The sequence below is a fragment of the Homo sapiens genome, chromosome 8 (genome assembly GCF_000001405.40).
Source record: "Homo sapiens chromosome 8, GRCh38.p14 Primary Assembly".
In the NCBI taxonomy this organism is placed as follows: Eukaryota; Metazoa; Chordata; class Mammalia; order Primates; family Hominidae; genus Homo; species Homo sapiens.
This window is the reverse complement of record NC_000008.11, coordinates 60,129,624-60,144,368: the sequence shown is the minus strand read 5'-3', so window position 1 is coordinate 60,144,368 and position 14,745 is coordinate 60,129,624. Positions and strand designations below refer to the sequence as shown.

General features: G+C 38.7%; 1 long non-coding RNA gene and 1 pseudogene across 1 annotated transcript, besides 1 other annotated feature; one reads left to right on the top strand and one right to left on the bottom strand.

Moving 5' to 3' along the window:
* On the bottom strand, positions 2,227 to 2,548 carry SLC2A13P1 (SLC2A13 pseudogene 1; annotated as a pseudogene).
* Positions 6,253 to 9,094, top strand: LOC105375863 (uncharacterized). Its single transcript, XR_928934.3, has 2 exons — positions 6,253 to 6,656; positions 7,804 to 9,094. It is a non-coding gene; the product is annotated as an uncharacterized LOC105375863 (long non-coding RNA).
* Positions 13,840 to 14,341: an enhancer, noted in NCBI's record as "H3K27ac hESC enhancer chr8:61042587-61043088 (GRCh37/hg19 assembly coordinates)". NCBI's record gives its function as "activates a minimal SCP1, AML or CMV promoter by ChIP-STARR-seq in naive and primed H9 embryonic stem cells {active_cell/tissue: H9 hESC(naive and primed)}" and the evidence as "EXISTENCE:reporter gene assay evidence [ECO:0000049][PMID:30033119]".

Below are 14,745 nucleotides of genomic sequence, written 5' to 3'. Positions count from 1 at the left end.
AGTTCCCTACATCACTTCTTACCCATTTTTGAGGCCACTGCCACTTTACTTTCATTTTTTTTTAACCTCTATGTCTGCATCTATGTGGGTGCTTTTTAAAAAAAGTTTTAGCAATTTCTAATAATTACCCCCCTGAAAAGATTAGGATTTAGCTCTCTGTTACTACTCCTTGCCACTGCCCAACAAGTACCTTCTCACACTCTTAGTACTGGTATATTGTAATTTCAGTTATGCCAATAGTCAGTATTTCTAAATAATTCAAATATGTCAAAGATAATGGCAGTTGAGTCTTATATTGTACCAACATTACTATCCTTTCTTATGCAACTTCCTCCCCACACCATTGAGGGGATAATTGCCTTTTGTTTTGTTTGCTTAGTTTTCTACATACTTATCACTAATTCAACTTTGAATTCTTTGTCAGTTATCTAAAAACCTTCATTTATCAAGAACTTTATTATTGTCATCTTCCTCAAGAAGAATCTTTAGAAACCATCTGTTACATACGCTGCCTTCTTTGCTAGTTGTCCTGGACTTTGCCTTTACTCCATTGCTATATTGGATCCCTTGTTTCTTTCCTGCTACGTTTCTCTTTCTCTTGGCTTCCTTTCTCTTTTTGGAGGAATGTATCCTCCAGGACCATCCTGAGAAAACCTTCATGAGAAGTATTTCTTAAGTTTTGCATATCTTAAGATACGCAAAAGGTAAACATCTGTATTCTACCTTCAAATCTGATCAATAGTTTGGGATATATGTAAAATTCTAAGAAAAAATAACTATTTTCTAAAAAGAAGTTTGAAGACAATGTTCCATGTTTCACAGCCTCCAGTGTTGTTTTTGAGAAGTCTAATGTCATTCTGATCCTTTGTGACATGACTTTCTTTCTCCATTTCTGGAAGCTTGTAAGGTCTTCTCCCTGACTCCTGGGGTGTTTATTCCATTGACCTTTAATGTAATTATTGATGTGACCACACCTATTTTCAGTTTGTTCCCTCTGGTTTTTGTTCCTTTGTTTCAACCTTATTACCTTCTTTTTCAATAGTTGAGTGTGTTTTGAAATTCCATTTTAATTTATCTATTAGCTTTTTAGCTATACCTTGTGGTTTTATTTTTAAACAATTGTTCTAAGAATTAAAATATCAATTCTTAACTTTTCATATTATAATATTTTACCACTTATAAAATGTAAGAACTTCAGTATATATATGTTCATTTACATTTATTGTTCTTCATGTTATAGTTGTCATATTATATTGTAAATTTTCCATGACAATATTATAATTATGCTTCAAACAATGTTGCAATTTTTAAATCAAATGAACCAGTCTTTTATGTATACTTACACATTTCTATCACATTCAGTGCTCTTTTCAATTCCTAAAGATCTGAATTTTCCCTGGTATTATTTCCCTTCATCAGAAAGAATCTCCTTTAGCATATTTTGTAGTGCAAGACTGGTGGTGCATATTCTTAGCTTTTCTTTATATGAATATGTTTTAAATGCACTTTCATTCTTGAAGGTTATCATCATTGAATATACACTTCTGGGTTGACAGGTTTTTAAAAAAAATCTTTCTTTCGTTTAGCACTAAACAGATGTTCCACAGTCTTGAGCCTCCACGATTTCTCATAAAAGTATGTAGTTTTCCAAATTATTGTTCCTCTGTAATGTATCTTTTTCTCTGGTTATTTTCATGACTAAATCTTTTTTTTTAACCAATTTGAATATAATGTGCTCAGGCATCCATTTCTCCAAATTTATCCTGTTTGTAGGTTGCTGAGGTTGTTGAATCTATAAATCTGTCAATACGTATCTTCCAACTAATTTGAGAGGTTTCTGTCATTATTTCTTGAATTATTTTCTCCTTCATTATCTTACTCCTCTTCATCTGGGTCTCCATTTACTTATGTGTTGGACATTTTGAAATTGTCTCACATGTTCTAAGGCTTTCTTCATTAAAAAAAATCTTTTTTCTCTCTCTTTTTCAGATTGAATGATTTTTATTGTTTTCATTCTGCTATTTAGCTCATTCAGTACACTTTCTAGTTCTGGAATTCTGTTTTCAGTTGTAAAATGTGCATTTGGTTCTTCTTCATAGTTTCTATTTTTGTTCTGAGATTCTCTATCTCTTAATTTATTACAAACAAATTACCTTATGTCTCTTTGAGCATAGCTATAATAGGGGCTTTAAAATAGTTGCCTAATAACTCCAACATCTGGGTTTGCATGATGGTATTAATGTTTGAGAACTGTTGGGAAATTTGTAGGTCATAATCTACAATTAAAGCTCTGCAAATTGGGGGGTAACTCAGCATTCTGAAAATCACAGATTCAGCTGAGCCAAACTCTTTTTTCCTCTTCTTCAATGTTGTTTATGATGCTGTCATATTCCTCATCACTGGTCTGGTTACCATCCATCTGAGATAAAATTCTTTAGGCCTTCTGAGTCTGTCTTTTCTGAATAAGCCATTGAGGATTTTCAGGCAAAAAGAGACAGCCAAAAAACTGTATAACTGCTGGAATTGCTTCAAGTTCCAACATGTACCTATCACACCTGATTACATAATATATAACTTTGTATTCAGCATATCACCTAGTAAAGTATCTTGTACACAGTAGGCATTTGGTAAATGTTTTAAGAAATAATACAGAAGCACCTGTGTATCTAAATTTTCTGTATTAACTAAACAGAAAATAGCTGTGCTTTATACTCATATAGCCTTATTTTTTGCAGCCTCTCTTCTGGATCCTTTAGCGCTGCAAAATTACTTGCACAATAATTCCTTCCAACCAAAGCATTCATTATTCTAGATATAACCAGAGCTCTTCTGGAACAGTCTTCAGATGAGAGTTAGAGATCAGATTTTCCTTGTTTTTAGTGACCTTGACAATTTTGAGGAGTACTGGTCAGGTGTTTCATATAATGTCCCTCAATTTGACTTTGTCTAATGTTTTCCTTATGGTTTGGCTGGGCTTGTGGTTTGAGGAAGATCACAGAGATGAAGTGCCATTCTCACCATATCATATAATAGGTACATGCTGTCATCATAAGTCATGATGATATTAACCTTAATCTTAACCTTCATTTCTAGAAGAAGGGAGTGTTTGAAATAGGCTGTGTTAGGTAAATCTTAGATTTGCAATCATATATTTGCTTTTTATTTTTCTTCTGTAGAAATTGACTAATACTTTAACAAAAGCTGATTGGCACAAAAGGAAAAATTGGAATATAGATAATAGAATTTATTTAATAATCCTGAGTAATTGCATGTTAAATATTTATAAAGTCTGTTGTTTTTATGAGTTTATTTATGAAAGATGGATTTTTTCCCAGGGGGCTTAAACTGATTAAACTTTTTCTGAGGCTATTTGATAAGAAAGGAATAGTTTCCTATATTTTGTTCACAAATAGTAATATTAATAAGTAATATGACAGGAGATAAACAGAATAAACCATGTTACAGCACATATTGCATTTATAATAGTATACATTTGCAATTATGTGTAATGACCAGCATTAAATACAGTGTATTAAATTATTCAAATTGCTCTTCAGTATAAATTATGCCATTGATTAGATTTATGGTGGTAGCTGTGAGATGTAAACTAAATATTGTGACATTCTTTAATTGAAATAAATGCTTGTACTTCAATTAATGGTAATTTTTTAGTTCATTAACTCTAGAAATTTGTTTTTATAGTCTATTTGGGATTTTACAGTCAAATGAATTGAGATATAGGCTATATAGGGTTTATTAAGAACAAATCAATGGTCATATAAACCTGATAATTTTTTTTGATACAATGATAAGGTAGCACATAAGATGTGAAATGTAATGAAACAAAATGTCTATGTCTGTCCCTCTTAAATGTTGTTATATTAAACATGTCCACTTCTCAAAGCATGGTTTGTGGGCAAATAATACCTTAAGGTGTGTGAATTTTGCTCTTCTAAGCTCATCCCAGAATTCTTCATTAGCCTTAGTGAAATGTAGCCACATTCATACCTAGCCTAAAGAGTAAGCAAAGTTAGTGTGGTTTGACCAGAGAGAGATAGTGAGTAGATGTCTTCTGGAGGGATGGCAGTATCTTTATAAATATTTAATGAGACTTTACCAAAACCTTATAACCTCACTTTAGCAGTCTTTAATGGGTAAAATATTTGAAGGAATTGAACAATATCAATGTCTAAATGATATTTCTCGAAGTATGGTTCAAGGAGTACACATTAAAATTGTAGACCCCCTGAATCAGATGCTTAGGAATTTGGGTGGCAACTGCATGTTTACCATCTTTTAGATGTCCTTATGCAAAATGAAGTTTGAAGTCTACTGGTGTGAAGGGTACTGTTTCGTTCATAATATGTAAAGGAGAATAAGAATAAATACATGAAGTTCTCTATTAGAAAGCTCTTCCTACCAAATCAGAGGTCTGTGAGAAGCTGTTCCATGTTTCTGAGGGTGTCGTGTTCCATATAGATGGTCTTCTCTTTGTTCATTTTAACACTTTGTGGTTATTGCCTGTGTTACACTCAGCCTTGTAGTTATGATAGATCTGCAGAGTAGATCATGATCTCCTTGAGGGCAGGAATCATGTGACTTCATTTCTACATCCTTATAATCCTATTTAGATTTGGGGGACATACATATTTCATAATCTGAATTAGGAAAACATTAGCTAATTAGATCAAAACAAAGTGTAACTGCCATCTATTTTTGTTATTGTCATGCCTAACAATACATTATGATAAGTGATACTGAAAACAACCAGCATAGCTTCTGCTCACTAGGAATGAATACAATTAGTTCTCCAGATTCTTTCCTAACATTTTCCATGCAAGCATATACCAGGATAAACCTCTTTCATTACTTTGCTTTTCATTACATTTATATAGCAATTTCTCCCCGCCCTTGAGGGACATTTTTTCTGAGGTGCATATAATGTTTGTTAGGCGATGTTTGGATTAAATATATAATGGCCCTCATAAGTATTATTTATGATTTTTTAAATAATAATAAAGATAATACAGAAAAACATGTTAAAGATACTTAATTCATTCTTACCTAGTAATAACAGGTGAACAGGTTTGATTTGCACTTTCCACCTCTTTCTTGCTAGAAAATTATGAGATCTCCTTCCGTCTATTCCCTCAATGAACTCACATGTTTTTCCTATCCCTTGGAGAGTTGGGCAGGGAGAGCAAGACTGAATAGATACTGTGGTTGTATTTTTTCTGACTTCATTAATCTGGGCTACAGGACTGTCTCTGAATGGCAGGATAATAGCACCATTTTAAAGGTCACCTGCCTTCTGGAGATGTCATCACACATAGGAATTATTACTTTGCAAATGTAGTGCTTTACAGAAAAATTGAAGAATTGCCTCCTGTAGGCTCAGCTCTGTGCGGTCCTGTATGGCCGCTGCAGGTCACGTTAGGGAGTGTATTCAAACTCAGTCCCTCCCAACAGGGTTGCACTAGCCTTAGTGTCCTGCTCTGGGTCTCAGTATCTGGTGTTTGAGGTGAGTCTTTCTTGCTAGCTCTCTGTGTGTGCTCTGTCCCTAGCATTGGTTCTGGTGTGTGCTCTAGCTCTCTGGTGGATGGGAGTCTTTCCATGAACTCCAGCTCTCTTGGATGGGACCCTGGGGCCTACCACTTTCCAAGTTCAACTTCTAGCGCATGGGTCAACAGTGACTGTTGACTGCTTTTATCAAACAAGAGAGAGGTCATTTCTGGTTTCTCCACTTTTGCCTGCCACTCCAAATTGTGAAGCAAGCCTCAGGCAACAATTTTATCCATCGGTTTCTCAGAAGACTTGTGCCACTTTAGGATTAAAAACAAAGTTACAATTTTGAAAATCTGCAATAAGAAAGCCAAGATATTTAAAGCGTACACAGAAAGGATTTTAAGTGGAGTTACATGGTACATAGCTCACCAGTGCTTCATATCCAAGACCAGTTGAAGAGGTGCAGGCTAAGGCAGATGGGTGACCATGACTTGAGTAGGGGGCAATTGACATTCTTTCTGGTTACCTAGCATACATTACCCCTTCTCTCTCTCTCTTTCTTTTTTTTTTTTTCTGTCACACAGGCTGGAAGGCTGGAGTGCAATGGCGCGATCTCGACTCACTGCAACCTCTGCCTCCCGGGTTCAAGCGATTCTCCTGCCTCAGCCTCCCGAATAGCTGGGATTACAGATGCCCGCCACAGATGCTAATTTTTGAATGTTTAGTAGAGACGGGGTTTCACCATGTTGGTCAGGCTGGTCTCGAACTCCTGACCTCAGGTGATCCGTCCGCCTCGGCCTCCCAAAGTGCTGGGATTACACACGTGAGCCTCCTCGCGCGGCCGCATTACCCCTTCTCTATCCAATTTCTCTTTGGAGAAATACTTCTCCACAGTGCCGCGTCTGAGTGGGATGGTAAATTCAAGGGCCAGCTCAGCTGTGAGGGGAGCTGGAGGGATCCCCGAATCTCCTTCCGCCATCTTGAGCAAGGCTCCGAGGAGCTGCTTCTTGACTTTTCCAAGCTGGCTCTTCAGTCTTCCCTCCAAACTTGGGAGATTTCCCAGATTTTTCTAATATATTACCCTATGCTTTATCTAGCCAGAGTTCAGCTTTTGTTTCTTGAAATTGAAGACGCCTCCATCTATAAGAAAGGTAAGTGGTGGAGGGTGATGCATTGTCTTAGAAATGCTGTCAGTTAATCTGTTTTGTTCCAGAGGGGGCAACGGATATTTTCATCTTTATCACAGTATTGTTAGTTTCAACCAATTGTTAAGTTTAGGGTTCTAGCCCATGAATCAGAAAAATATGTTCACTTTGACCTTCTTTACATCCTAAAGAATTTACAAAGGAAAAATTTACACAGCAGTAATTCCTGTGGATGATGATGTCTCTGGGAGCCAGTTGACCCATCAAATGTTGTCATTAGCATCACATTCTGCAGATAGTCATGTGTCACATCTTTTAAACTTTACATTAATCAAAATCATTAAAGAAATTAGCCACACAAGCCAGCCTCATTAGATCTAATTCATTCTATGATGTGTAATAAAACACAAAGAACACGTGGCCTGTTATCAGGAGGCAGGATGTTCTCAGTGGCTCATGTCACTGGGATTAAATGGATATTTCTTCTCACCCAATTCACAGGTTTTGATTGCTACATAAGCTTAATTTAATTCATAATTGACCCCTTAGCCTTTCCATTCCAGAAAGCTGTCATTGCTTACTGATTTATTTAATTTAGGGTCGGGAAAAAACAAAAAAGGGTCTTTGTAGGATTTGCAATTTTGAAGCAAAGCACTAAAGACCACAAACATCAGTTAGAAAATGTCACCTTTTGGGAGGCTGAGGCAGGTGGATCACGAGGTCAGAAGATCTAGACCATCCTGGCCAACATGGTGAAACCCCGTCTCTACTAAAAATACAAAAATTAGCTGGGCATGGTGGCAGGCACCTGTAGTCCCAGTTACTCGGAAGGCTGAGGCAGGAGAATCGCTTGAACCCAGGAGGCGGAGGTTGCAGTGAGCCGAGATCATGCCACCGCACTCCAGCCTGGGCGACAGAGCGAGACTCCATCTAAAAAAAAAAAAGAAAAAAAAAGTAAATGTCACCTTTCAGCTTCTGAACCTCAAACTGTCACAATCGAACAGCTTTTATGAAACTTTAATTTCCATTACAAAGAAATCCAAGCAACGCATTAATAACTTGTTTGTGTTTGTGGAAGTTTGCAAAGAGGTATCATATGAGACTTTGTCTTTCAGAAGCTGATTTGTAAGTTCTCTTTACTTTTCACTTCCAGATTTACACCAGTGGTAGAAAAGAGTGGGAAGCAAGTCTTGTGGCGAGATGGTGCCATCCCGTATTAAGAACTTTCGCAGCAGAATGCCCAAAATATGTGGCAGGGTTGCGGTAAAGTCTTCAAAGCAGGCTGTTTCTCAGTCGCTGCGTGTGTTCAGTCATGGGACTGTTTCCTTGGTAAGTGTCATTCCTGCGGAATGGGGCTGAACAAGGAACCTTCAGTTATGTCAAAAACTGATGATTCCCACTGTCGCCACCAGAGGATGTTCTAGGCACGTTTTTGTCAGCGCAGCTCACGTTGACTAAAATAGCCAATCCTTCCAACAGAAGTAGCATAACGGCTCTGAGGATGTGGAAAATCTCAATGTCAACAGCAGCTCGTAAAATGGAAAAGAACATGGCATCAGCTATGTGTTTAGAAAAGTCTGAGGCATTTAGCCTAACTGTTCTTGAATCATTACCATGATACTGACAAGCAAAGTATTTCTGAGGAACCTGTCGTATTTAGGCCTTGACTGCATGGCTAATAGAGAAAATAGCTTAGGCTACCCACACACCACAGTTCTTTTCAAGGTTTGGAAAGCAGCCATTTTGGTTGATACATTTTTAAAAATTATTATTTTATTGCCTTAATTCTTGTGCTGAGACTTGGGTAGGTAGAGACAAAGAAGAGAAAAAAGGATTTTTTTTTAAAAGGGGAATTTAGTCTAGTGTTCCTTAGATAGGGAAATCCTAGGAAGGATTGAGAAACATGCCTTACATTCATCCAAAAAATAAACTATAAAACACTATCAAAAGGGTAGCAAGATCACCTGTTATAGATAAGAGCTTTAAAAACCGATATGTAATAGCAAGGTCTGTCATCAAATGTCAAGTGTCAGGCACTACTTAGAGGCTGAATCTCACATTGGTGCCAAGGAATATACATTGAAGCTGAAAAGCAACCTGACTCCCATCAGTTTGCCTCATTATAGAAATGATATTCTTTTTGCATGCTGCAAGAACACTGAAGGATATGTAATATATATTAAAATGAGTAACTGTAATATGTTGTTGAAGGCAGATCATTTGCATCTGTGTGCATGTGTGTGTGCATGCAAAGACTAAAAGCACAAACTATAGTTTTCAGGTTTAACGGCATGTTTTTTAATATCATACCTATTTTATGGAATATTCTCTGCTTTTACTAAAAAAGGTGTATTTTACATTTATTTTATTGTGGTAAGAACACTTAAGATGAGAGCTACTCTCTTAACAGATTTTTCAGTGTGCAATAAAGTGTTCTAAAGATATGGTGTTACACAGCAGATCTTTCTTAAGGCCGAATAATATTTGTGTGTGTGTGTTTGTGTGTGATATTTTCTTTCTTCATTTGTCTATCAACGGACATTTAGATTGTTCTCACATCGCAGCTATTAGGACTAGTGCTGCAATGTATTTATTTTTATAAGGTTCTCATTTTTATTAAGTTCCCTTACTAAAATAATTAAATAATAGTGTAAATTTTAGTGACAGCTGCAGTTCTTATGACAAAAAGAATTGACAAGTGGATGTCTACAGGCAGGGAGAGCAGCAGGCAAGTGGACTTCAGGTATGGATCGATCCTGCTTGCTGTTCTATGGGGCTTGAGGAGCATGGCAAATACCTTCTTCCCCAGAAATGCTGGGAGACAGGCAGTGCATAACATAACATCTGGAGTTCTGCTGCTACAATACTTACCTCTTGCCCATTTTTTACTATTATGGAAATTCAAGCCATCTAGGCAACAAGAGACTGGAGTAGCTCACAGGATTATTGTAAAAATGACCAGAAATACTAAGTGTAAACTGAGTAGCCAATGCCTGGACTGCCGTGGGCATTCAATAAATACCAGCTATCATTATTTCATTATTTTTTATTTGTTGTCAGCCATAGTTATACTGTGAAAAGGCCACACTCCATTGCCTTTGTGGGGCAGGGTAGTGGAAACTCTGATCTTCAGAAAGTTTGAAGTATCACCTGAATTATTAGAAAAGAAAATCCCATGAAAGGCCCTTCCAGGCCCCTACCTAGAGTGCACCTCACCATAATCATATCGTTAAACTTTCACCACCCTGATGGTTCAAGATGGGCTGATTTTTATCAAAGGGCTGAGGGTGACACAGGCAGCAGTGAATCTTGGTGTCCTGAGGCTAGCAAGGAAAACCCGAGGTAAAGCAGGCCTGCGCTGGACTCACTGGAAGGCACTGGTGGCAGGCATCGGGGCTTCAGGAGAGCCTGTGCCAAAGGCCTGCCCCTCGGTGGGCATGAAGGGAGGGGCTGCAGGGGAGGGAGAGATGACAGAGAAAAGCTTCTTTCTGCTCACTGTGAGTCCGGTATCCAAGCGAGACCATGATGTTGATATTTACCATTACTGAACAACATAGTTTTCTTTAAATTATTTTAAAAGCCATCTGGAGAAAAAGATCTGAACCTCATCACTACTTATCAGAAACAAATGCATTTATCAAGTCTTTCCCTTCACACCCCTCTTCAATCTATTTTTTAATATTATGCTAGTTACTTCAAAATAACTATGACCAAGGTTGTTAGATTTTATCAGAACCAGAAGGCCAAGTTTCCCATCAAAATGCGATGTTAAAGAGAATTTGGGCCTCAAATTAAGGATAGACTTTACCTTGTTTAAGTGTATTTTGTAGAGAGTTAAATTTAAAATCTGATTTTGAACATACATACATAAATTTGAAGGGAATTTGGTACATGACTTCTTGATATATGTATGCAAACATATGAAAAGCAACTTCAATTTACCTTCTCTCTACTCCATCGTTTCTCTTTAACTTCCTCCAGTAATACCTGTATCTTCCTTAAATTTTATTTTTAAGTCTGGGCATTCTTCTTTGATGAGCCTGGTATTCTTATTTCTATTTTCTTTTCTTTCTTTTTCTTTTTGAGACACAGTCTCACTCTGTTATCCAGGGTGAAGTGCAGTGGTGCAATCTCAGCTCACTGCAACCTCTACCTCCTGGATTAAAGCGATTCTCGTGTCTCAGTCACCCGAGTAACTGCTATTATAGGCGGGTGCCACCATGCCGGATTAATTTTTGTATTTTTAGTAGAGATGGGGTTATACCATGTTGCCCAAGCTGGTCCCGAACTCCTGACCTCAAGTGGTCCGCTCACCTCGGCCTCCCAAAGTGCTGGGATTACAAGCATGAACCACTGCACCCGGCCTTGTCTCCCATTTTGTTGAATCAAATCTCTCTTCCTCCTCTACAGTCTCTCCTTCTTCATTGGTTTCTTTCCCTCAGCCATCAGTGATTCTCAAGCGGGTCACCTAATCTCCTAAAATGCCTTCTTTTGAGTTTATGGCTTTTTTCCTAGCTGTCACTCTTCAAAATGTTAGAAAAGTATATAACACGTGCCTACACTTCTGAACCATGGAGCACTAAAGCTACAAAACTAGTAAGGCACAGTCTCTGCCCTCAAGAAGTTTAGAGTCCGGTATGGTGAGACAGATGTGTAAATGCTTTGGGACACTAAGTGCTGTCAGTGTAAGCTGTCTGGGAATGGTTATCATGTCCCAGGAGTCAAGAGCACTTTCTCAGAGTAGGTGAGATTTGAATAAATGCCAGAGATGAGTTGGTAGTTACCAGTTAGATAGTAGTGGGGGTGAGAAGGACATTCCAGGCACACGTACAAGTGAGATCCAAGCTGGAAGAAATAAGAAATAATAGACACACAAGGGAAACCTTACAAGTGATTCTGTATCATTGGAGTATAATATGCAGAGGACAGTGCTTGGTAATAAGTGAGGTTGAGAGGCTTGACCAACTGCATTCTTTTTCCAGGCATCTAATGGATCTTCAGGAGGTTTCTCATCTCAGCAATTCCCCTTGCATTTACCTGTTTAGGGATGCATTGACTAGGCAGACTTTCTGTAAATTGGGCTTTTCACTACATTTCTCATTCCCAACACATTATACCTTTGGCTATGGGACTAATTACATGAGAGGCCACTAATCAGGAAATGTTAATGTATGTTGATGGTTTCTGGGTCAGGAACTATCAGGTGTCCACCAGGACCATTCTCACTGTTTCCAGTAATAGGATGGCAGGGTATAGGTGTACCGACAAAAGACTCCATTTCCCAGCCTCTCTTGTAGGTTGGTGTGTTCCGGGCAGTGTGGCATAAGGAGAAGTGATGCTGCCATATCTCCAGTTCATGCCTCCAAAAAGGTATGTGCTCACACATCTCTGGCATTTCCCACTCTTTGGGTGAGCAAGACCTGGAGCAGCTGCTGTGGACTCAGAGATAGAAACCATGTGATGAACATGGCAGGGGCACCCAAACAGCTCAAGAACACATTTTCCTGGTCAGTTATATAAGAGAGAAGCAAAGTTCTGTTTGTGTCATGTCTGGGTCTCTTTGTTATAGCTGCATAGCCTATTTTGTAACAAATACAGTCACAGAGTGTTATAATAAATTTTAAAGCATTGACTCAAGATAATATAAATGACTTAATAGGAATGTTCAATAAAGAATGTCTTAAATTAAAGCAGTTATCCAGATGTTGGGCATCCCAGATGCATGAGTATACTGACAAGGCAGCTCTATTCAGGCAATGGGGTCCTATGGTACTCCTCAAACTACACCTCAAAAATAGCAAAGCCATCCTAAAAATAATGTCTGTATGCTCCCAAAATACCAAGGGCAAGAAACACAAAGCAAGTGAGAGGAACTATTTCAGATTAAAGGAAACTAAAGAGACATGACAACTAAATGCAACGTATGGTCACAGACAAGGAAAAAAGAGCTGTAAGGACATTATGAGAACAACTGATAAAATTTGAACATGGACTGTCAATTAGATAATATCAATTCTAAAAATCTTGATTTTGATAACTGTCTGGTAGTTACATAAGAAAATATTCCTGTTCTTAGAATAATTATTTAAGGTTAAAGTACTGTGATGTCTGCAACTTATTCTCAAATGGTTCTGAAAGAATATGCTAATACACACACACACACACACACACACACACACACACACACACAGAACTACACATAAACACAGAATGCTAAAGCAAATGGAGTGAAATATAAGCAATTGGTGAATCAAGGTGGTAAGGGGTAGTGTATAAATCAGCAACTTTTCTGCAAGTTGAAATTATGTCAAAATAAAAACTTAAAAGAAAAACAGATAGGAGCACAATTTTCTCTTCTTTGAAAATCACCAACAGCATCAACAGTCACACACTTGAATTTGAATATGGCTTGCCAATTAGATCATTGCTATTGGCAAAACATTTGGCAGGGCACCCCTGCATGCGCTCTTCCTTTTGGGCCCATTTCCAGCACTCTAACTTTCCTCTGAAGCAAATTTGTCAAAATAATTGTTGAATAAACTCACTTTTTAGAAGTTGTCAAAACAGAACTAGTCCTCATCTTTGATCCAAGGACAGATGTGATCTTTGGGTATGAATTTGAGGTAGAATTTCAGGCTGATTTTTTACCATGGACTGAAATTCAATTAGTGTGATTTTATTCAATTTAGTGATATATTCTATTCATTCCAAATTGAGGGACATTCCACAAAATAACTGCATGTACATTTCAAAAATATCAAGGGTAAGAAACACAAAGCAAGGCTGAGAAATTGCTACTATTCAAGCAATACAACTCTAAAATTTTCCTAAAAACATTCCTTTTTTCCATTCTCTGTGTTTCTACCTACTGTAGTCTCCCCACAATTATAGTTATTTTAAAAAAACCTAACAAGCAAGGTGTTCCAAGATGGCTGAATAGGAGCAGCTCCGGTCTGCAGCTCCCAGCATGATTGATGCAGAAGACGGGTGATTTCTGCATTTCCAACTCAGGTACCTGGTTCATCTCATGGGGACTGGTTGGACAGAGGGTGTAGCCCACAGAGGGTGAGCTGAAGCAGGGTGGGGCATTGCCTCACCCGGGAAGTGCAAGGGGTTGAAGGATTTCCTTTTCCTAGCCAAGGGAAGCTGTGACAAATTATCTGGAGAAACGGGACACTCCCCGCCCAAATATTGAGCTTTTCCCAAGGTCTTAGTGACCAGCAGACAAGGTGATCCTCTCTCGTGCCTTGCTCAGCAGGTCCCATGCCCATGGAGCCTTGCTCACTGCTAGCACAGCAGTCTGAGATTGATCTGCGAGGAGGCAGCCTGGCTGGGGGAGGGGCATCCACCATTGCTGAGGCTTGAGTAGGTAAACAAAGCAGCCAGGAAGCTTGAACTGGGTGGAGCCCACTGCAGCTCAACAAGGCCTACTGCCTCTAGACTCCACCTCTGTGGGCAGGGCATAGCTGAACAAAAGGCAGCAGACAACTTCTGCAGACTTAAACGCCCCTGTCTGACAGCTCTCAAGAGAGCAGTGGTTCTTCCAACATGGCGTTTGTGCTCTGAAAATGGACAGACTGCCTTCTCAAGTGGGTCCCTGAACCCCGTGTAGCCTAACTGGGAGACATCTCCCAGTAGGGCTGGCAGACACCTCATATAGGTGGCTGCCCCTCTGGGATGAACCTTCCAGAGGAAGGATCAGGCAGCAATATTTGCTGTTCCACAACCTCCGCTGGTGATACCCAGGCAAACAGGCTCTGGAGTGGCACTCCAGCAAACTCCAAGACCTGCAGCAGAGGAACCTGACTGTTAGAAGGAAAATGAACAAACAGAAAGGAATAGCATCAACGTCAACAAAAAGGTCTACACCAAAACCCCATCTGTAGGTCACCAACATCAAAGACCAAAGGTAGATAAAACCACAAAGATAGGGAGAAACCAGAGCAGAAAACCTGAAAATTCTAAAAATCAGAATGCCTCTTCTCCTCCAAAAGGTTGCAGCTCCTTGCCAGCAATGGAATGAAGCTGGATGGAGAATGAATTTGACAAGTTGACAGAAGTAGGCGTCAGAAGCTTGGTAATAACAGTTTTTCTC